Source organism: Homo sapiens, chromosome 9 (genome assembly GCF_000001405.40).
Source record: "Homo sapiens chromosome 9, GRCh38.p14 Primary Assembly".
Taxonomy (NCBI): Eukaryota; Metazoa; Chordata; class Mammalia; order Primates; family Hominidae; genus Homo; species Homo sapiens.
The window spans coordinates 42,183,103-42,206,312 of NC_000009.12; the positions used below are offsets into that span (position 1 = coordinate 42,183,103).

Consider the following 23,210-nt stretch of genomic DNA (forward strand, 5'->3'; position numbering starts at 1 on the left):
TAATTTTTTAAAACTTACTATTCAAAATTTGCAAAACTAAATAAGAGTAAAAGAAATTTACATTTTGTCCCTGGATTGATACAAGACAAAAACATAGTGTGGGAAAGCTGGAGTTGAGGATGAACGAGATTCTGAGAATGAAAATCCCTGGTTCATAGCCAAAATTTCAGAACTTCAGATTTTCAAGGGCTATAAAATAGGTAACCTCAAGCCACCGTCTCCAACAGATAAAAGGAACCAGGTAATATCTATATTCCAGGGAGAAAGAATAGAAAATTGGCTATCACTGACAAAACTTAGTGGGAAGGAGGGATCTAGAAGGTGGGATGGTGGAGGGATCCCCAGCTTTGGGGGTGGGGAGGGGCTGTGCTCCAGTCTCCCCCTCCCCTGCCCCTCTCCCTCCCCCTCCCCCTCCTGCTGCACCTCCCCCTCCCTCTGCCCCTCCCCCTCCCACTGCCCCTCCCCAACAAAGGAGCCCTTTGTGACATCAAGGCCCCACCTCTGTGACGCAGGCCTGGGCCCCAGTCCCTAGTCTCCACGGGGATGCCCAGAGCTCAGTTGCTTGAAAGCAACGTGCCTATTCACATGGAGAATCTTCCCTTTCCTTTAAAATTACTTAGTGCCTCATCGCTAAACGCCCCCAGCTCCACACCATGGGTGTTGGATATCTTCCTCACCTTGGTGTTTGCCCTGGGGTTCTTCTTCCTATTACTCCCCTACTTATCTTACTTCCATTGTGATGACCCACCCTCACCATCGCCTGGGAAGAGAAAGGTAAGGAACCCTCAGTCCCGACCCACAGAGCTTGATTCTCTCCTTTCTTTTTATTATTAGTTCCACTTTTCCAAATCCAGTGGAGAGCCTTCTATGATGGGAAGTCTCAGAAGAGACCAGAACATCATCCTTCCAGGGAGAGGCAGGGCAGCCAGGGGTTGGTAGGGGTAGATAGTGTACTGGGATTTCCATCCCAAGATCTCAGTCCATCTGTGGGGGAGCACAGGAGGCATCAAGGCAAAATCAAACCAGTGGACTCAGCACCAGTACCAGTCATGAGACTGGGGAGGTCTCTGTCCGAGACCAGGCCCTGAGCCCTGGCTCATCAGCCCCTTTCTGGGGCAGGTGGCTCAGGGCCCAGCCTCCCCTGTGTGGGGTGATCTGGGGCCTGTGCTGGGCCCCCGAGGGCCTCCCACCAGGGCCTGGTGTCTCCTCTGGTCTTCTGGGAAGCAGAATCCTACCTGATAGCTCAGCAGTGCCTGCGGGCCTGAACTTGGGTGTTCCTGGAGCAGAGGAACAGGGACTGAAGGTGTCCGTGGTGGACCTCATATTGAAAATCCCTCTGTGTGTGTGTGTGTGTGTGTGTGTGTGTGTGTGTGTGTGTGTTATTTTTATTTTATTTGTGTGTTATTTTATTTTATTTTATTTTATTTTATTTTATTTTATTTTTTGAGATGGAGTCTCGCTCTGTGACGCAGGTTGCAGTGAAATGGAGTGATATAGGCTCACTGCAACCTCTGCTTCCCGAGTTCAAGCGATTCTCCTGTCTTAGCGTCCTGAATAGCTGGGGATTACAGGCGCCCACCACCATGCCTGCCTAATTTTTGTATTTTTAGTAGAGACGGGGTTTCACCATGGCCAGGCTGGTCTCAAACTCCTGACCTCAGGTGATCAACCCACCTTGGCCTCCCAAAGTGCTTGGATTATAGGCGTGAGCCACCACGCCCAGCCCCCTCTTGCTGTTTTTCTAAGAAGAAAAGCAGTTTATCATCCAGTTAAACATGAGTGGGAGGAAGCACACAGAGCTCCCTGAGCAAGACAGAGAGAGTCATGCGGTTCCTGAGTGCAGCATGCTGCGGCTGGGCTGGAGCAGAGAGGGAGAGCCAGTCCTAGCTTCTCGCCCTTTCTTGTCTCCCATTGTCATCTTGTCTCTCCGCGTCATCTTGTCTCCGTACGTCATCATGTCTCCCAGTGTCCAGTAGGGCGGAGGCGGAGGCCCAGAGGCAGGATGAAAAACCACAGTCTGAGAGGTAAGGCTCTGCCAGAGCACACTAGAGTTAATTTGATCTCATCTGTCCCGGAGGGAACTGACTCTGAAGAAGTCAGTTGAAGAAGCCTGAGGTGGGGGCTCCTAGGAAGGAAATCAGAACCCCGGGTCCTTCTCAGATTCCATGCGGGAATGAAGCCATGGTGGGCCAGGGACTGGGCGTTACCCAGCAGGGGGCAGTGTGTGTGTCCTGGGGAGACCAATGCCTGCCTGGATGCGGAGGGGGGTGAGGGGGCCTCCCGCTCCCTGGGAACAGCTGTCCAACTCTGCTAAGGCTGATTCCTCTTTGAGACCACCTCAGTCCTTTCTCCCCACAGGGCAGTTGTGAGGACTGTGGGGGTGGGGGGTCCGTGTGTGGAAGCCTGTTGTGAATGAAAAAGCCCTGTCCTCCATGCCTTGCTATTAACGTCGGGGTCATGTGGCTTTGGACACAGATGGGTGGGGTCCAGGGTCTAATTCCCCATGGTCCTCCCTAAAGAAACAGCCACTCAGCCTCCTGTGAGATCCCAGGCCCCTCCCTCACTGCCCTAACCCAGTCTCCTGATTTCCAGCTGGTAGAGAGTGCCCGAGAGGCCTGGAGGAGACTTCGGACCTTCTTTCACAACTGCAGAGGTGAGGCACTTCCCCTTCCCTGCATCCTTCCTACCAGGGCTGGGACATGACCCAAGGGCCACAGGCAGCCTGGAGCTGACCTGGGATGGGGAGACCAGGGGGACAGAGGATGGGAGTAAAACCCTGGGGCGAGGGGTAGCAGGAGAATTGGGCAATCAGGGTGTGGGATGGTGGAGGGGCTGTGGCCCGAGCACCCACTCTGCCCTCCGGCCCCACCGGCTCCTGGCTGCAGCTCGTGCCTCCTGTCTCCTGCAGCCTCCTGGGGCCACACCTTGACAAAGGTGACTTTGGTCAGCTCTCCGGTCCAGACCCCCCAGGTGAGGTGGGCGAAAGAGCACCTGATGGAGCCTCCCAGTCCTCTCATGAGCCTATGGAAGATGCTGCTCCCATTCTCTCCCCGTTAGCTTCCCCGGATCCTCAAGCCAAGCATCCTCAGGATCTGGCCTCCACCCCATCACCAGGCCCAATGACCACCTCAGTCTCCTCCCTAAGTGCCTCCCAGCCACCAGAACCTTCCCTTCCCCTAGAACACCCCTCACCCGAGCCACCTGCACTTTTCCCTCACCCACCACACACCCCTGATCCTCTGGCCTGCTCTCCGCCTCCTCCAAAAGGCTTCACTGCTCCTCCCCTGCGGGACTCCACACTGATAACTCCATCTCACTGTGACTCAGTGGCACTTCCACTGGGCACCGTCCCTCAAAGCTTGTCTCCACATGAGGATTTGGTGGCTTCTGTCCCAGCCATCTCAGGCCTTGGTGGCTCAAACAGTCATGTTTCTGCCTCCTCCCGGTGGCAGGAGACTGCCAGAACCTCGTGCGCCTTTAACTCATCAGTCCAGCAAGATCCTCTTTCCCGCCACCCACCAGAGACCTGTCAGATGGAAGCTGGTAGCCTGTTTTTGCTCAGCTCTGATGGCCAGAATGTCGTGGGGATACAAGTCACAGAAACAGCCAAGGTCAACATTTGGGAAGAAAAAGAAAATGTTGGATCATTTACAAATCAAATGACCCCAGAAAAGCACTTAAATTCTTTGGGGAATTTGGCTAAATCATTGGATGCTGAGCAGGACACCACAAACCCAAAACCCTTCTGGAACATGGGAGAGAACTCGAAACAGCTGCCCGGACCTCAGAAGTGCTCAGATCCTAGGCTCTTGCAGGAAAGTTTTTGGAAGAATTATAGCCAGCTTTTCTGGGGCCTCCCCTCTCTGCACAGCGAGTCCCTGGTGGCTAACGCCTGGGTAACTGACAGGTCTTATACTTTACAGTCTCCTCCTTTCTTGTTCAATGAAATGTCCAATGTCTGCCCAATTCAAAGGGAGACTACAATGTCCCCACTGCTTTTCCAGGCCCAGCCCCTGTCCCACCGCCAACCCTTTATTTCATCCACACCCCAATTCCTGCCCACACCTATGGCTCAGGCCGAGGCTCAGGCCCATCTTCAGTCTTCTTTCCCAGTCCTATCTCCTGCTTTTCCATCCCTGATTAAGAACACTGGAGTAGCTTGCCCTGCATCGCAGAATAAAGTGCAAGCTCTCTCCCTACCTGAAACTCAGCACCCTGAATGGCCTTTGTTGAGGAAACAACTAGAAGGTAGGTTGGCTTTACCCTCTAGGGTCCAAAAATCTCAGGACGTCTTTAGTGTCTCCACTCCTAACCTTCCCCAGGAAAGTTTGACATCCATTCTGCCTGAGAACTTTCCAGTCAGTCCTGAACTCCGGAGACAACTGGAGCAACACATAAAAAAGTGGATCATCCAACACTGGGGCAACCTGGGAAGGATCCAAGAGTCTCTGGATCTGATGCAGCTTCGGGACGAATCACCAGGGACAAGTCAGGCCAAGGGCAAACCCAGTCCCTGGCAGTCCTCCACGTCCACAGGTGAAAGCAGCAAGGAGGCACAGAAGGTGAAGTTCCAGCTAGAGAGGGACCTGTGCCCACATCTGGGGCAAATTCTGGGTGAGACCCCACAAAATCTATCCAGGGACATGAAAAGCTTCCCACGGAAGGTTCTGGGGGTGACTTCTGAGGAGTCGGAAAGGAACTTGAGGAAGCCCTTGAGGAGTGACTCGGGAAGTGATTTATTAAGATGCACAGAGAGGACTCATATAGAAAACATCCTGAAAGCCCACATGGGCAGGAACTTGGGCCAGACCAACGAGGGCTTGATCCCCGTGCGTGTGCGTCGATCCTGGCTTGCTGTCAACCAGGCTCTTCCCGTGTCCAACACCCATGTGAAAACCAGCAATCTAGCAGCCCCGAAAAGTGGGAAAGCCTGTGTGAACACAGCCCAGGTGCTTTCCTTCCTCGAGCCGTGTACTCAGCAGGGGTTGGGAGCCCATATTGTGAGGTTTTGGGCCAAACACAGGTGGGGTCTACCCCTCAGGGTCCTCAAGCCCATTCAGTGCTTTAAACTGGAAAAGGTTTCATCCTTGTCCCTTACGCAGCTTGCTGGTCCCTCCTCAGCCACCTGTGAATCTGGGGCTGGCTCAGAAGTTGAGGTGGACATGTTCCTTAGAAAGCCACCAATGGCAAGTCTGAGAAAGCAGGTGCTGACCAAAGCATCTGATCACATGCCAGAGAGTCTTCTGGCCTCCTCACCTGCATGGAAGCAGTTCCAGAGGGCACCGCGAGGAATCCCATCTTGGAATGATCATGGGCCCTTGAAGCCTCCTCCAGCTGGACAGGAGGGCAGGTGGCCATCTAAGCCCCTCACGTACAGCCTCACAGGCAGCACCCAGCAGAGCAGGAGCTTAGGAGCCCAATCTTCAAAGGCTGGAGAGACAAGGGAGGCAGTGCCACAATGCAGAGTCCCCTTGGAAACCTGTATGCTGGCAAACCTCCAAGCCACAAGTGAGGATGTGCATGGTTTCGAGGCTCCAGGGACCAGCAAAAGCTCTCTACACCCTAGAGTGTCTGTCTCCCAAGATCCAAGAAAGCTGTGTCTTATGGAGGAGGTTGTTAGTGAATTTGAGCCTGGAATGGCCACAAAGTCAGAGACCCAGCCTCAAGTTTGTGCCGCTGTTGTGCTCCTTCCAGATGGGCAAGCATCTGTTGTGCCCCACGCTTCAGAGAATTTGGTTTCTCAAGTGCCCCAGGGCCATCTCCAGAGCATGCCTACTGGGAACATGCGGGCTTCCCAGGAGCTACATGACCTCATGGCAGCCAGAAGGAGCAAACTGGTGCAAGAGGAGCCCAGAAACCCAAACTGTCAAGGCTCATGCAAGAGCCAAAGGCCAATGTTTCCCCCTATTCACAAGAGTGAGAAGTCTAGGAAGCCCAACTTAGAAAAACATGAAGAAAGGCTTGAAGGATTGAGGACTCCTCAACTTACCCCAGTCAGGAAAACAGAAGACACCCATCAGGATGAAGGCGTCCAGCTACTGCCATCAAAGAAACAGCCTCCTTCAGTAAGCCACTTTGGAGAAAACATCAAGCAATTTTTTCAGTGGATTTTTTCAAAGAAAAAAAGCAAGCCAGCACCAGTCACTGCTGAGAGCCAAAAAACAGTAAAAAACAGATCATGTGTGTACAGCAGCAGTGCTGAAGCTCAGGGTCTCATGACGGCAGTTGGACAAATGCTGGACAAGAAAATGTCACTTTGCCATGCGCACCATGCCTCGAAGGTAAATCAGCACAAACAGAAGTTTCAAGCCCCAGTCTGTGGGTTTCCCTGCAACCACAGGCACCTCTTCTACTCAGAACATGGCAGAATACTGAGCTATGCAGCCAGCAGTCAACAAGCCACTCTCAAGAGCCAGGGTTGTCCCAACAGAGACAGGCAAATCAGAAATCAACAGCCCTTGAAAAGTGTGCGGTGCAACAATGAGCAATGGGGCCTGCGACATCCCCAAATCTTGCACCCCAAGAAAGCTGTATCCCCAGTCAGTCCCCCTCAGCACTGGCCGAAGACATCCGGTGCCTCTAGCCACCATCACCACTGTCCAAGGCACTGTCTTCTTTGGGAAGGTATCTGATTTGGTCAGTCACAAATTCTTTTTTAGCCTTCCCTGGAGAAAAACAAGTCCCCAAGAAAAAATTCACTCTATGTAGAGAAAAAATATTTTCTCTCATGTTAGTAAATGCAGAACATTTAATATTCCACAATATATATGGTTTTTTATTTATAAGAGGGTGATGGCTTCTATTTGTGCCATGCTTGGTGTGGGCTTGGTTTCCAGATGCGACAGGACATGGAGGGATGTTGACAGTGGTGCTGTAAGCCCACCTTCATCCTGAGTTCCTTCACTGAACCTTATGTTTCCGTAATATCGTCTTTACACAAACAACAAAAAATTCTAAAAACAAGATGAGAAAAACCTATGAAGGTCCCACTCTGAAATAAGGTTCAACCCATCTTTCCACTACTTACTCTACCTCAAACTTCATGCAGCTGTAGGGAGAAGGTTTGCAGAGATGTCACGGGACTGAACATCTCCATGCAGGCTCCAGGAAGTGCCACAGCCGAGTACCTTCATGTGTCAAAAAATAGTGGAAGTTTGGGTGGGAGAGTGCTGGGCCCTGAGTTCAGAAGTGGGAGAAGTCTTGACCCTGGGTATCCTGGTGGAGAATAGATAACGTCTGCCCCTGGGAAGCCCCTTCTCTCCCTGACAAAGGCTGGGATGGAGATGGGCCCTCTTAGCTCAGCCAACATGCGAAGCAGAGAGTCCCCATCCCACTGCCTCTCCCTTTCTCGCACTCTGGAGTGGCAGTGGGGACAGACCTTCCAGCTCTGTGCATGTGTAGGTGGGGGCTAGGGGGTCAGGGGGGCAGCCTTTATGGAGGTTGCTGAGGGCCGTGAACTCCCCTGCCCCAGATGAGTGAATGACCCTGCTCCTGGGTCACCGGCCTTTGTCTATCTCACCTACATGTCTCTCAGCTTCAGTGAAGTAGTTCTGGGTGAATGGAGTAGGGTATGCCTGTGTGTGCAGAGGCTTCTGATGGTGGGACTCTGTAGAGCTACAGGGGATGCAGACAGAGAATTGAAAAGGAGGCAAAGTGGCGTGTGTGAGGGAGCCATCAGTGGTGCCGTGAGCCAGGAGACTCTGACATTCCAACCCCTTAGATAGGCCTAGAGGGGCCTAGTGTCTCATCCTGGCCACACCCCAGGGTCTGTCTCTGCTCCAGCTCCCAGATCACAGACCCCTAGAAAAACCACATTTACCCCCAACACAGAGGGCCATATTAGTGAGAAGGCGAAGTGAATAAGGAAGATGAATTTCTTAACATCTTCGATAAGCTTGCACATAATAATCTATTGAACTTTTTTTTTTTTTTTGAGACAGAGTTTCACTGTTTTGCCCAGGCTGGAGTGAAGTAGTACAATCTTGGCTCACTGCAAACTCTGGCCCCTGGGTTCAAGCGATTCTTCTGCCTCAGCCTCCCAAGTGGCTGAGATGATAGGCACCCACCACCATGCCCGACTAATTTTTATATTTTTAGTAGAGATGGAGTTTTGCTATGTTGGCCAGGCTGGCCTCGAACTCCTTGCCTCAGGTGATCTACGGGCCTCAGCCTCCCAAAGAGCTAGGATTACAGGCATGAGCCATGGTGCCTGGCCTACTTATTGAATTTTTTAAAGGATGTGTTGACAACAGGTGGAAAAGCAAGGACTAGAGAACCCCAGGCATGAGTCGAAGTCTGGTGACCTTTAATATACACGTAGCCCCAGGACTGCTCCCTGGGGAAAGGTGGTGACTTACTAGGGCCCAGCAGCTGAGCTGGGGTCACACAGCAAATCTTCCCTGGCTCCTGACATCCTTGCTTGCCCCAGAGACCAGCAAGGGAAGATGCAGGCAGGCAGGATTTGAACATACAAGGGAGCTGGAAGTGACCTGTCCAGAATGGGCAGGGTATGGGCAGGACAGGAGCCGTCCCTGCTGTCTCCCTCTGCTTTCAGCACAGCTTTCCTCCTCTCTGGGCCCTGTCCATATGGGAAAGCAGGAGGTCTCCACAAATCATGGACAGGAGGAGCCAGGTCTCTAGAGGGAGTTTTCTCTGCCTTGTGCCACATACAGGCGTGCAAGAGGCCCACTTCCGGGGGCCTCATTTCAATGGTGGAGAGGCCAGTGCCAGGCAGTGCCACTGATCTAGATGACAATGGAAATGGCCCTGCCCCCAACATGTGGGACTGGCCGGCACCGGGGTGCAGGGGGCAGTGGGCACAGTCCCCAGCCTGTGGCTTCTCCTGGGGCCAGGTCCTCTCTGAGGCCTGGATAACTGAAGCAGCCTCCAAGGTGGGCCCAGCGGTGACAGCGGAGCCAGGATCAGCAGGAGGAGCTGGGACCTGGAGCAGAGAGCAGCCCCGGTCCTCCAGGAGCTCAGGAGAGTGTGGCACAGAGCTGGGACCCTGACCACTGAGGATGGGCCATGCCTGGCTGCTGCTGGGTTCCCTCAGGAAACCAAGACGTGAGTTCTGGGATGTGGAGGAGCTGGACTTGGAGCCCATGGCTCAGACCAGGAGAAGCGCCACAGGCAATGCTGAGAGACCAGAAAGAACACAGGAAGCAACAACCCCTTAGCCCTTCTGCAGCTCAGTCTCCCATGACATGCAGTGAGGCCAACAATAGAGAGACCCACGGAGACCTCCCACAGGAACCTCACAGAGATATCTCGTACAGAGTGAGAACACTGGGACCTCTCACTGCCACAGAAAGAGACACACTGCAGCCTCCACAGAGACCCCACGGAGCTCTCAGAGTCCTCATGGTGCCCCACAGAGACCTAGCACAGAGATTCCCAGAGTCCTCACCCAGAGAACCCCACAGAGGCCACGCTGAGAGACTTCACTCAGTCCCACAGAGATCTCCCACAAATGTCAGAGACCTTCCATGGTTCTCACAGGGAGATCTCACACAGAGACCCCACAAAGACCTCAGAGACTTCACACAGAGTCATAAAACAGGGACCTCATGCAGAGACTCATGCAGTTCACTGCAACCTCTGGCCTCCAGCCCCAGAAATGGCACATGGCACCCCCCACTGCCTCACAGAGACCTCTCTCAGAGTCCTCCTCACACAGAGACCTTGCCTGGAGACCTCCCACTCTCCACAGAGACCTTGTATAGATTCCTCACACAGGCCTCAGGTTGCTCCACACTCATTGCCCAGAAACCTCTCACATAGAATTCCCTCAAACATTCCACACAGAGATTCTGTAGGGCTTTCACAGGGTCCTCACACAGGGTCCTCACACAGGGACTTCATATAGTCCATGGTCCCTCACACAGAGACCTAGCACGGAGATTTCACACAGGGACTTCCCACAGAGACCCCACAGAGACCTCTGGAAGATACCTCCCACACAGACCTTCTGCAAAGGCCTCATACAGAGGCCTCACAAGAGGCAATGGAGCCCTCTTGCTGCCCCATGGAGTCCTCCCACAGAGACCTCATGTGGCCTCACAGGCCTCGTACAGAAACTGACTCGGATTTCTTAGAGACTTTCCACACAGAACTCACGCAGAAACCTCACACTGAGGCTCCACAGAGACCTCACTCAGAGTTCTCACCAGGAGCCTGGCACTGAGGCCTCCCATGCAGCGCTCACACAGCATCCTCACCATAGGTGAGATGCCCCTTACAGATACTCCTCAGAGATCTGGCCCAGAGGCTTCACAGAGACCTCACATCCATCCATTCTTTAGGGGCCTGAGCAGCCACCTGTTGACACGTCCTTCTCAGTGGATATAAAACCACTCAGCACAGTAGCAGCACAGCCGGGATAACAGTTGCACTCCCCAGGAACCCTGGGACACCCAGATACTGTCAGCATTGCAGTGAAGGCGGTTTTCTGCTTGGGGACATCCTCACACTTTTTTTTTTTTTTTTGTAATATCGCTGCCTCTGAAAAGAATTATGGATTCCACAGGCAGACCTGCAAAATTCCTTCTTCCACAGGTTTCCATTAGCTTGAATTCTGACCCACAATTTAGAAAATTCATTTTTTTAAATTATTTTTTGAGATGGAGTCTTGCTCTGTCACCCAGGCTGGAGTCCAGTGGGATAATCTTGGCTCACTGCAACCTCTGCCTCTGGAGTTCAAGAGATTCTCCTGCTTCAGCCTCCTGAGTAGCTGGGATTATAGGTGTGCACTACCATGCTCGGCTAATTTTTGTATTTTTAGTAGAGACAGGGTTTCACCATGTTGGCCAGCTGGACTCGAACTCCTGACCTCAGGTGATCCACCCGCCTCGGCCTCCCAAAGTGCTGAGATTATAGGCATGAGCCACTGTGCCCAACCAAAAATTTTTAAGTGAGGAAAATGTTACCAACCTTCAATGAAAGAAAATATCTTATTTGTTCAGTTTGTTATTATCCAGCCAAATTATATCAATGTCATATATTTTTTAAAGTTTGGGGGAGACAAGACTTGAATTTGAGATGCCTGACTTCTGTACTTTGAAAATATGATAAAAACCTCTAGAAAATGAACCCCAGAAATGAAACAAACCAGCAAAGAGGCATCTGGACTCACACTGGTCTCCCAGGGGACTGTGCAACTAGCACATAATTTCATACAGAACAGCTTGGATCACATTTGCAGAGTTCATTTTATTTTTAGGAAGCTAATAATCATGCAAAGATTTTTCACAAATAGGTCAAATCTCTAGCAATATTCTTATTGTATCACTTGGAAAAATTATACTTCTTAATAATATTATTTTATTCCTGAAAATGCAGTAATGCTCTCAAATAGTAGTATGACACATGTTTGTCAGACATGACTTAGTCCTAATGTTCCACAAACATAGCTTAAGCAGATGGGCAATTTAAAAGGATTTATTTTTTAAACAGTTCTATGAAACACGCATTCTCTAAGATGGGCAGTAGGGATCCATTTTATATTCATTACAGGGCTAAAAAAGGAATGTTTTGAAATCTTACAAAACAAATTAATCTATGCTTGAGATATATACATAGCCTAATAAAATATATTGAGGAAGGGACACGTTAACATTTGAGTGGAAGAAGGTATACATTTAATCAGCATTTGTATAATAAAAATGAATTATGAATGGCCTCACTAATTATATATGCAGCACTTTCCAAAGGGTGCACTCTGGTAAGACTACTTACTTCTCATTGCTCATAAGCAAACTGTTGTCCTTGCCTTGGTAAAATCTATTTTAACAATAGCTGTTAAAGCGCATCACTAGATTATCCAACGGGATGACAGGGTCACAGTCTTTTCTCTAAGAGAGGCATAGCTGACATCAAGGCTCTTTTAGCCTATTTGTTTCAACAAGAAATCCCCTTTCTATATTCATCATAATTAAAAAATTTTGACTTAATTTTTCCACTTCCTTATAATGTCACTGCATTGTAAAATAATGGAATCGACATGGATCTTCAGATTATACATATACATATATATATATAGTTTTGTTTTTGTTGTTTTTTTTTTTTTTTTTGAGACAGAGTCTTGCTCTGTCACCCAGGCTGGAGTGCAGTGGTGTGATCTTGGCTCACTGCAAGCTCAGCCTCCTGGGTTCACACCGTTCTCCTGCCTCAGCCTCCTGAATAGCTGGGACTACAGGCGCCAGCAACCATGACTGGCTAATTTTTTTGTATTTTTTTTTTTAGTAGAGAGAGGGTTTCACTGTGTTAGCCCGGATGGTCTGGATCTCTTGACCACGTGATCCACCCTCCTCGGCCTCCCAAAGTGCTGGGATTACAGGCATGGGCCACCGCGCTTGGCCTATAGTTTTTTTCAACAGCGCAACTTAAATAAGTTTAGTTATCAGAACAAAATAGAGTCAATTAGAAAAAAAATTCATACAGAAAAATATACTTTTCAAGTTGACTGTTTTAACAGAGTTAAAATAAGTGATTATACTTCAGTCATTTGATTTAAATTTGCTCAGAGTGGCCAGAAAATCTAGAAACATAGAAAATGTCCATACTAAATAGTTGATTGCTATGACACGTTGAATGTGCTGTTCCTCAATAGTAATTCATAGTTCAGTAACCTACGCAAAATTGCAATGAACAATGTGCATTAAAGCAACATTTCCATCAATCAGTGTATATTCATCTGCCATATATTGCCTCAGATGATTTGAGTGTCTAATTTCACAGAATAAATTTGAGCCTTTATCCCAGAAGAAATAATCAACGGGGCTCAATCTATTAAAAAGATATTGACAATATTTCCAGGCTCTATTAACATCTATATTTTATTTTTAATTAGATTCACCTAATTCAAAGCTTGTAAATATTTTTACCATTTATATGTGCCCAGATGAAATGGATATCAATAATTAGATAATGGAGAAAACAACAAACACAGATCTTCTTTGTTGTTAAAATATTTTACTTCAGAGCACTTTGCTAGAAATAAAGTAATTTTTAATCTCCAGGCAAAAGACTGTCTAAATGACATTCAGAATGTATTACAAATTTAGATTTAGAATAGATTTATGTTTAAAACAGGCCTCATACTGCTTTCAACAAATCGGGCACTACAGAACAGAATGTGGGGAGGGTGACAATGATGTGATGACTTCTTAACACTGAGCAAAGAAGCAAAAAACAAGTTGTCTTTCTACAATGTTGATCCCTAAGAGTGATTTCCCTTTATAGATTGCAATATAATTCCAGTTGCATTGTTATTATTTTACAAAGAACTCCCACAGAAAAAACTTTCTGGAGGTTTTCCCCTATATACACACCTACATTCTCTGCCATGCTCACACTGTTGGCAAAGTATGGTGCATCCAGCCACAGACCATCAAGGGGCTTGATAATTGCCTCCTCCATATACCTTCTGAGGTCGGTCAGGTTTATAACCATTCGTGTAACACAATTCATCCTTATAACTGGGCCTATGGCCTTGTGGCTTGTCACCTTTTCCAAGCAGGTGCTTGTCATCTTGGTTGCTCAGAGGTTTGCTGTGGCATCTTCCCTCACCTGAGGCCGGGCTGGCCTCCACCATGTTGCAACCAGAAGAGCCCACTTCCGTGGGGACAGATCTTCCGTGCTCTCCACAGCCACGTCACGCTGCCGCTGTGCAAATGATGCCAACTGTAAATCCCAGAAAACTGCAAAATAATGCTGCGCCAGGCACAGTCGGTGAGGATTTAGAGGATGCTAACGTCTTTCCTAAGAAACGTGGGTGACATCGGCCAGGCACGGTGGCTCACGCCTGTAATCTCAGCACCTTGGGAGGTCGAGGCGGACAGATCACGAGATCAGGGGATCGAGACCATCCTGGCTAACACGGTGAAACCCCCTCTCCACTAAAAATACAAAAAAATTAGCAGGACATGGTGGGGGCACCTGTGGTCCCAGCTACTCGGGAGCCTGAGGCAGGAGAATGACGTGACCCCAGGAGGCGGAGCTTGCAGTGAGCCGAGATGGCGCCACTGCACTCCAGCCTGGGAGACAGAGCGAGACTGCGAGACTCTGTCTCAAAAAAAAAAGAAGAAAAAGAAAGAAACGTGGGTGACATCACTCTGGTTCTAATCATTTTCGTGCTTCAGCTGCCCCCACTGGATCAGTGTTTCTGGTGAAACGCAATCAGTTTTCGGAGGGCCTCACCCTCCTTCACTGTAATGATGTTTGCAGTTCTTTCTTTCTCCTCTATGCCAAAAATCCAGAATTACCACCCCCTGTTCCCCATGGTTCACAATCTCAACCACGTTTCTCCAGTGACCACTTCAATTCACACAGCCATCCCTCAGTTCAAATATTGCCTTTGAACATCATGAGCAAGACCACGGCTCTTTGTATTTCTGCCACAGTTTCACACCAGTTACAGATTATATACATACTTCACGTCAATAAGTTTATTTTGTAGAGTGTGGTTTCTGGAGTCAGATGAGCTCTCCACCTACTAGGTCTGTTACTTGGGCAAGTCATTTCTTGCCTAGATTTACCAATTTGTTAGAGTTATATTACTTTACTCCAAAAGATTTTATTCTGTGAATTACATTGCTTTTCTTATTTTTTAAAAATTGTAAATCTAGGGATTTAGGCTTGGTTGTTTTTTTAAATATCAGTACTTATCTAAACAAGTATTTGAAAATTTTTCTTTTTTCTTTACATATATTAGAAATCTGGCCAGGCACGGTGGCTCATGCCTGTAATCCCAGCACTTTGGGAGGCCAAGGTGGGTGGATCACCTGAGGTCAGCAGTTTGAGACCAGCCTGGCCAACATGGCAAAACCCCGTCTCTACTAAAAATACAAAAAAATTAGCCGGGCGTGATGGCAGGCACCTGTGATCCCAGCAACTTGGGAGGCTGGGGCAGGAGAATCACTTGAACTGAGGAGGCAGAGGTTGCAGTGAGCTGAGATTGTGCCACTGCACTCCCGCCTGGGCAACAGAGTGAGACCCCATCTCAAAAATAAAAAAAAAGAAAGAAATCTGTTAACAGCCTTGCTATGAAGACATTTTTGTCTGTTTCTTTTACTTTGTGTACTTATTTAATATTAAAACCTGTATTATTGCTCAGCAAAGAGGAGAATTGTTTCCTTGGAGGAAAAAAAACATCCTTAAGAACTTACTAGTTTAAAGCTGAGCATCTTAGATTTGAAGGTTGCCTTACCTTTTTAAAATTTTTTTTATGAGTTGATAGAAAGTCCTAAAATCTTAGGAACAGAAACAATTGAGAATTACAAGTCAAATCATTGAAATGGAGCCATCTGACAGTTTATGTGTTCTGCTGTGCCAGTAGTGAGTGGGAACAGTTTCTATGTGGGAATATAATCAGGGTCCTGACTACCCCTAAAGGAGCTCTTTCTTGTTTGGTGTGAAGCCAATACACCAAACCGAGAGTGAGTATCAAACAGTGTGGGCTTTTTTCAATGGCCATGGAATTGCAGAAGTGGGAGCATAGCCTGCAAATCAACTTCTCAGAGCCTGAGAACTGAGGATTCTTAATGAAGGGGCTGGGTATACAGAGGAAAGGGAGAAATATTCATAGCTTTTCTTGGGAAGGGAGGTAGGTTTTTTTGGAATCAAAGAGCCACCTCTTTTCTGCCTGTTTTTGGTCTCTTCTGGCCATTGTCATGGTGATTGTCAACTGTCAAGGTGCCAGTGGGAGTGTCATTTAGCATGGAAATTGGATCATAATGAAGCTAGAGGTTTTTCAGAGGTCAAGCTGCCATTGCGGATTTTGCCAGCTTCAGCCAGTTTAGTCCTAAGAAGGAACTTCTGACCCCAGACATCCTGTTTTCTAAAACTAAGCAGTTAAAGCTGAATGGGAATTTAGCCCTGTCACATAGGCATTGGTTGGGCAACAAAAGCAGGGTAGGGCTCCAGCTAAGCCACGTAGGCACTACGATGGGCAACAGAAAGGTTGGTTTCTGGGCAATTCAGAGAAACCAAGGACAGCTACCCCCAGAACTCAGAGTAGCCAACTGGGTTGCTCACAGGAGATGCCTTAACTGAAAGGTGATCAGACTCCACAGGAGACCCAGAGAAGATGTGGAGGGAGCTCAGAGGCTGTCCTGGAGGAGACGTGGAGACAGTTCAGAGGCTGTCCCGGAGAAGACGTGGAAAGAGCTCAGAGGCTGTCCCAGAGAAGACGTGGAGAGCTCAGAGGATGTCCCAAACAAGAGAGAGCTCAGAGGCTGTCCCAGAGAAGACGTGGAGAGAGTTCAGAGGCTGTCCTGGAGAAGACGTGGAAAGAGCTCAGAGACTCAGAGACTGTCCCGGAGAAGACATGGAAACAGCTCAGAGGCTGTCTGCAAGAAGACGTGCAGAGAGTTCAGAGGCTGTCCCAGAGAAGACATGGAGAGAGCTCAAAGGCTGTCCACAAGAAGATGTGGAGAGAGTTCAGAGGCTGTCGTTACTGTTGCACTTGGCTGTTTTTCTTTGGATAATTATTGCAATCAATTTTAGTAATTCAGGTGTTAAATCACAGTCAAGCACCTATTTACCTAGTGGTGAGTTCCTTTATGTTGTGAGTTCAATGTCATTTGTGGGGACTGTGGTCCAGGGAGGTGTTGGGAGGATGAAGTTTTTTCTGAGTGACTTTGCAAACATAAAAAGTCATCTAATAAAGATGCTAGAAAAGCAAATATCCTAACTTCCTAGTCAGAAAAATGTCCAACACCATGTTTATTTAGGGGCAAAATTACGTATTCAGAAGAATTTTTCACAAAAAACCAGTGGTGGGAGAAAATTACACATCTGGGCCCAGCAAGTAAGACTTTCCCTTCACAATTGTGCTGTGGGATCCCAGGCCTCGGGGGGCTACTGCCGTCACCGTCCCCAGGCTGTGGGCCCCTTTGTCAGGTGCTCTTCTGAAGGCAGGTCTCCTGTCCATGCCTTCCCCTTTGCTGTCCGGATGGAGATTGGAGACGCAGCATCATATACAGCTGACAGGTGTTAACCTTATTAGCTAATTCTGTTTCACGGGACACGATTTATACATTCCATGGAAATGCTTCTCACTGCCTTTTTTTACCACTTCAAGGTAGAAGTAGGTAATAGTGCTAAAGTCATCTTACTAGAATAACAAAGTCCATGGTTTGTTGTCCCTAAAAATATTTGTATTAGTTTACTAGGGCTGCCATAACAAAATACCACAGACTGAGTGGCTTAAGTAACATAAATTTCTTTTTTTCTTTCTTTCTTTCTTTATTTATTATTATTATACTTTAAGTTTTAGGGTACATGTGCACAATGTGCAGGTTAGTTACATATGTATACCTGTGCCATGCTGGTGTGCTGCACCCACTAACTCGTCATCTAGCATTAGGTATATCTCCCAATGCTATCCCTCCCCCCTCCCCCCACCCCACAACAGTCCCCAGAGTGTGATGTTCCCCTTCCTGTGTCCATGTGTTCTCATTGTTCAATTCCCACCTATGAGTGAGAATATGAGGTGTTTGGTTTTTTGTTCTTGCGATAGTTTACTGAGAATGATGATTTCCAATTTCATCCATGTCCCTACAAAGGACATGAACTCATCATTTTTAAGAAAATGTGGCACATATACACCATGGAATACTATGCAGCCATAAAAAATTTCTTTTCTCACAGTTTTGGAGACTGGAAGTCCAAGATCAAGGAATCAGCACATTTGGTCTCTTCTGAGGCCTCTCTCCTTCCCTTGCCAATGGCCACCTTCTTACTGTGTCCTCACATGATTGTCCCGTGGTCTGTGTGTGGTCTCTGTCCACATCTCCTTGTCTTACAAGGAAATCAGTCTTACTGATTAGGGCCCACCCATATAACCTAATTTTACCTCAATTACCTCTTTATAGGTCCTCTTTCCAAATACAGCCCCATTCTGAGGTACTAGAGGTGAGGACTTCAACATAAATTTGAGGCAACACAATTCTGTCCATGACAATTGTCCACCTTAGTTTTATGGTGAACCAAGGCTGTGAAAAAGACTTGACTTGGGGCCGGGCATGGTGGCTCACGCCTGTAATCCCTACACTTTAGGAGGCCAAGGTGGGTGCATAACCCAAGGTCAGGAGTTCAAGACCAGCCTGGCCAACATGATGAAACCCCATCTCTACTAAAAATACAAAAAGAATGAGCTGGGCTTGGTGGCGGGTGCCTGTAATCCCAGCTACTCAGGTGGCTGAGATGGGAGAATTGCTTGAACCCGGGAAGTGAAGGTTGCAGTGAGCCGAGACTGCACCACTGCACTCAAGCCTGGACAACAAGAGCGAAATTCTGCCTAAAAAAAAAAAAAAAAAAAAAAGACTTGAGTGAAGGCAGTGACCTAAGTGTGAAGCGATAACAGCTGGCAACTGTTCCGCAAGAAGGTGCAAAGCCCCTGCAGGCCTGGGAAGGTGCAGAGCCTGCACCTCAGATTTGACTCCTCTCATAGAATCATGGAATTTAAGTGAACCTCTTCCAGTATTAGGGAATCTTGAATGGAAACTCTAATATCTTAATCCCCAGTGTAACAAACTTTTACTACATTGTTCTCATGATGACAAATGTCTCATCAGAAAATGGCTTAAAATATAATTATTATGAAAGCAGACTGGCTTATTTAAAACAAACATAATCTGAAAACTGTAATCCAAAAAGTAAACATCCATATATATATATATTCATTCATTCTCTTTGCTTTGAAACTTTCACTGAATGACCTTTGTCCGTTTTATCGGTCACCATATTTTAGTGGTGCTGTGCAGTGACTTTTGTAGAGTAATATCTCTCAAAGTGTGCAATGATCAATATTGTGTTGTCAAAAGATTCTGTAGTCAAAGAAGTTTGGAAAACTTTAATTTTTTGATTAAGCAAAGCAAGAAGTCTGAGTTTCATTTATTGGTTTACTATGAAAAGTGTTAGAGGCTTTATGATGTGCAAGAAGGACATGTGTCATAATATTTCTCAAACCTATTTGACTTCCAATACTTGCTTTTTTGTTTTTTCTTCTTTTGTTGGAGAAATTTCAAAAACTTTGGAAAATACTTTTTAAGTGAGATTCAGGAGTTTGATAAGCAAGATGACAAATACTAAAAATATACACTCCAAATATAGACACGATGAATACTAAATAAACTCACTGTTTTTAGTCAACATTATTCAAGGATATCCAAAGTTTTTCACGGCATAAAATGCTCTTTTTCTTTTCAGTAATATGATACATGTGATATTCCTGGAAACTTAAAAAAAATCATCATTTATATGCTCTCTTGTCAGTTTCATGCTGTATTTTTGATGTAGAAGAAAGAATTTGGTATCTTCTCAGGAATACATTGTCACATAAAAATATGTAAACTCCTTCAGATAAATTCTCACCTTCTGCAGAATGAGTCAAACAGCAGGGGGAGAAGCTGAATCTAGTGTTCACAGTGGGTGACCTGTCTTCCTCAACACTGTCATCTCATCCATTGTCTTGGATGCTCAAGAAACGGAACTATATAAATGTGGCTTCTGGCCTTCATATATTACAGTGCCAAAGCTTCAAAGAACCAGTTTTTATTTAATACTTACTTTGTTTCTTTGCATTTTTTTTCAAAAATACAATATGTTGTTATTAACTATAGTGACCATGTTGTGCGGTAGATCTCTTCTTGAATATTTCCCCTCTCCTAAATGAAATTTTGAATCCTTTGATAAACATCCCCACTCCCCACCCCAAGTCCAGCTCCTGGTAACCACCAGTCTACTCTCTACTTCTATGAGTTTAGCTTTTTCAGATTCGACATAAAAGTGAAATCATATGGTCTTTCTGTGCCTGGCTTGTTTCATTTAACATAATGTCCTCCAGGTTCATCCATGTTGTCACAAATAACAAGATTTCATTATTTTTTATGGCTGAATAGTATTTCATTGTGTATATATACTACTTTTTAAAATTCATTCATCCATTGATGGACACTTACATTGTTTCCACATCTTGGGCTAATATATAAATAAGATTTAATGTATATGGTGTTGCAGATATCTCTTCGACATACGGATTTCATTTCCTTTGGATATATACCCAGTAGTGGGATTGCTGGTTCATATGGTAGTTCATTTTTAATTTTTGAAGGAACCTCCATGCTATTTTCCATGATGCCTTTCCTTCAAATCTTCTCCAACACTTGTTATATTTTGTCGTTTTATAATAACCATCCTAACACGTATGGGGTGATATCTCAAAGTGTTTTTAATTTGCCTTTCTCTAATGATTAGTAATATTGAGCATTTTTTATATGCCTGTTGGCCTGTATGTCTTCTTTTGAAAAATGTCTATTTGGATCATTTGTCCATTTCTTATTGAGTTATTTTTGGTTGTCTCTTCACTCTGCTAGCACCTATTTTGTATAAGACAATAATGCTCTTACATTTTCAAAATACACAGAAGATAAAAAACATATAGTAAGTATGATACTTGAATTGTAGTGAGACATTTAAAATTTTCCAGGAAACAATTACTGTGTTTTATGGCTATAAGGAAGAAACATGTACATCATTTTGGAGAAATGAGAAGAAATTTTCATTTGGAAGAAAAAGAGAAATTATGGAGTGATAAGTTTAAATTGAGAAAATAACAACAAATACAATATACGAGAGAGGCTCTAGGCATTTCATTTATAAAAATATTGTCCAGTTTTTGTATGTGTGATGTGTGCTTGTTCCCTCTTTACATATCTATCTCTGTCTGTCTTTCTGCTATGGTTTGAATGTATCCTCCAAAAGTTCGTAGATTGGAAACTTAATCCCTCTTCTCTCATGAATAGATTTATGTCAGTCCTGCCCTCATGAATGGATTAATGTCACTAGCATAGTAGTGGGTTCCTTATCATAAGCCCTTTTGCTCTTGCTCTCTCACTATGTGATGCCCCCTGCCATGTTGTTAGGCAGCAAGAAGGCCTTCTCCAGAGGCCAGCATCATGCTCTTGGCATTCCTAGGCCTCAGAGCTAAATACATTTATTTTCTTTATAAATCACTCAGTCTGTGGTATTCTGTTATAGCAACAAAAATATTAAGACACTCTTCCTATTTCCCCTACTCTCCTTCCTCCACCCTCTTTCTTACACACAAAATGTTACTGAAATACCAGGAGTTCAATCTAGGTTCTGTTACTTGCACACAGAAAGCCAATCACTTAGACAATGAATATTGCCAAGGAAGAAGGCTTTAATTGCATGCTACAGCTAAGGATATGGGATATCAGTCTCAATTCCATCTCCTCAACCAGCCGAAATTAGGGGATTATATAGCAAGGAAGAAATGTAACTATGAGCAGGAAAACAGGAACTAGGGAGGGCTAAGGAAGCAATCATGACAAATAAGGAATCTGGCATCTGGCATCTCATTGTCTCGACACAGTGGTCTGATGAATTTCACTTCTTTGATACTTTTTGAGAGAGCTGAGAGTCCATTTCCTGAGGAAGAAACTCAGAGAAAACAAATGTAAGTTTCAAGCTTCAAGACCAGAAGGATTTGTTTCTATGTTTATATTTTTAAAATCTGTCTGTGGATCTATTGGGTGCATTTCAAAAACACATACAGAGGAAATCCCAGGCACTGTGCTAGAATTGGGAATACAATGGTGAGTTCAAAGAGGAATAATTTTCCTATTCTCATGAAGCTAATAGTGTAGGATAGAGAAAGTAAACACTAATCAAAGAACCACACAAGCATAAGATTGCAACTACAACTAAAAACCATAACCATTCAGTTAAGCTAAGGAGGCCACCATTGTCACCCTTCTCTTAACCTTTAATAATGTATTTTACAGGTAAAATCCTTAAGTAAGTCATATTTGGTTGGGAAGATCAAAGAAATCACCCAGTCTCCCACATCCGAAATTGTGCAGTCTGGACTGTCAGGAACAAAAGTGAAAGAGAGACGTCATCAAGGCCGGGCGCAGTGGCTCATGCCTGTAATCCCAGCAATTTGGAAGGCCAAGGAGGGTGGATCATGAGGTCAGGAGTTCAAGACCAGCCTGGCCAATATGGTGAAACCCTGTCTCTACTAAAAATACAAAAATTAGCCAGGCATGGTGGCAGGCACCTGTAATCCCAGCTACTTGGGAGGCTGAGGCAGAAGAATCACTTGAACCTGAGAGGCAGAGGTTGCAATGAGCCAAGATTGTGCCATTGCACTCCAGCCTGGGAGACAAAGCGAGACTCTATCTCAAAAAAAAAAAAAAAAAAAAAAAAAAAAAGAATGACTAAAATTAAGAAGATTGATGATTCCAAATATTGGTAAAGATGTAGAACAACTAGAACTCCCACATATTGCTGATGAAAATGAAAAATAATACATTACTTTGGAAAATACTTTGGTACTGATTTACCATATGACCCCAAAATCTCACTTGTAGAAATTTATACAGGAAAAATGAAAACATATGCTCACAGAAAGCTTGTATACACATGCTTATGGCAATAAATTTATTTATAGTTGCCTATCAACAAGTGATGAACAAATATATTTTAGTATCTTGATACTACTTTCTAGCTAGAAAAGGAATACTGTTAAGCAAAAATAGAGGATGAAGTAGTAATATACATAACATAGATGAATTTAAAAACACCATGCTGATTGAAAGAAAACAATTATCAAATACACAGTGTAATATTCTATTCACAGAAAGTTTGAAAACAAAAAACTATAGTCTCTGAAAGAAAACCATTGGTTGCAGGAAGATGGGGATTCATTGGCCACAAAAGGGACTGAGGAAACTTTTTATGGGTAATGGAAATATTTTATATCTTGATTTTGGCACCAATTATACAACTGTATGTACACATTTGTCAAAATTCTAATTGTATTATACACAACATTAGTGACTTTAACTGTCTATAAATTATATCTCAATAAAATTGGTCTTAAAAGATATACATATACACACACATAATTTAATATGTATTTTATATATATATATATATCTCTCTCTCTTGACAATGGAGTGAAATGTACTCTTTTTTTTTTTTTTTGAGACGGAGTCTCGCTCTGTCGCCCAGGCTGGAGTGCAGTGGCGTGATCTCAGCTCACTGCAAGCTCCCAGGTTCACGCCATTCTCCTGCCTCAGCCTCCTGAGTAGCTGGGACTACAGGCGCCCACCATCACGCCCAGCTAATTTTGTTTCTGTATTTTTAGTAGAGATGGGGTTTCACCATGTTAGCCAGGATGG

The 23,210-nt window shown here is 45.6% G+C and overlaps 1 protein-coding gene, 1 long non-coding RNA gene and 1 pseudogene across 3 annotated transcripts; 2 read left to right on the plus strand and 1 right to left on the minus strand.

Annotated features, from left to right (window-relative positions):
• The first annotated feature begins 556 nt into the window (after nucleotides 1–556).
• SPATA31A6 (SPATA31 subfamily A member 6) lies at nucleotides 557–6,785 on the plus strand. Of its 2 annotated transcripts, none has more exons than NM_001145196.1 (4): nucleotides 557–774; nucleotides 1,967–2,024; nucleotides 2,593–2,653; nucleotides 2,909–6,785. In NM_001145196.1, the coding sequence occupies exons 1-4, from the start codon at nucleotides 586–588 to the stop codon at nucleotides 6,630–6,632; spliced, it is 4,032 nt and encodes a 1,343-aa protein (NP_001138668.1). In that variant the 5' UTR covers nucleotides 557–585; the 3' UTR covers nucleotides 6,633–6,785. The 2 variants fall into 2 exon arrangements, with proteins under 2 accessions (NP_001138668.1, XP_011516173.1); XM_011517871.4 differs by having other exon boundaries at nucleotides 586–773; nucleotides 1,930–2,024.
• On the minus strand, nucleotides 12,945–13,630 carry PTS-P1 (6-pyruvoyltetrahydropterin synthase pseudogene; annotated as a pseudogene).
• Nucleotides 15,760–22,914, plus strand: FAM74A7 (family with sequence similarity 74 member A7). The gene is made up of 2 exons (NR_126166.1): nucleotides 15,760–16,547; nucleotides 21,810–22,914. It is a non-coding gene; the product is annotated as a family with sequence similarity 74 member A7 (long non-coding RNA).
• Nucleotides 22,915–23,210: the final 296 nt, after the last annotated feature.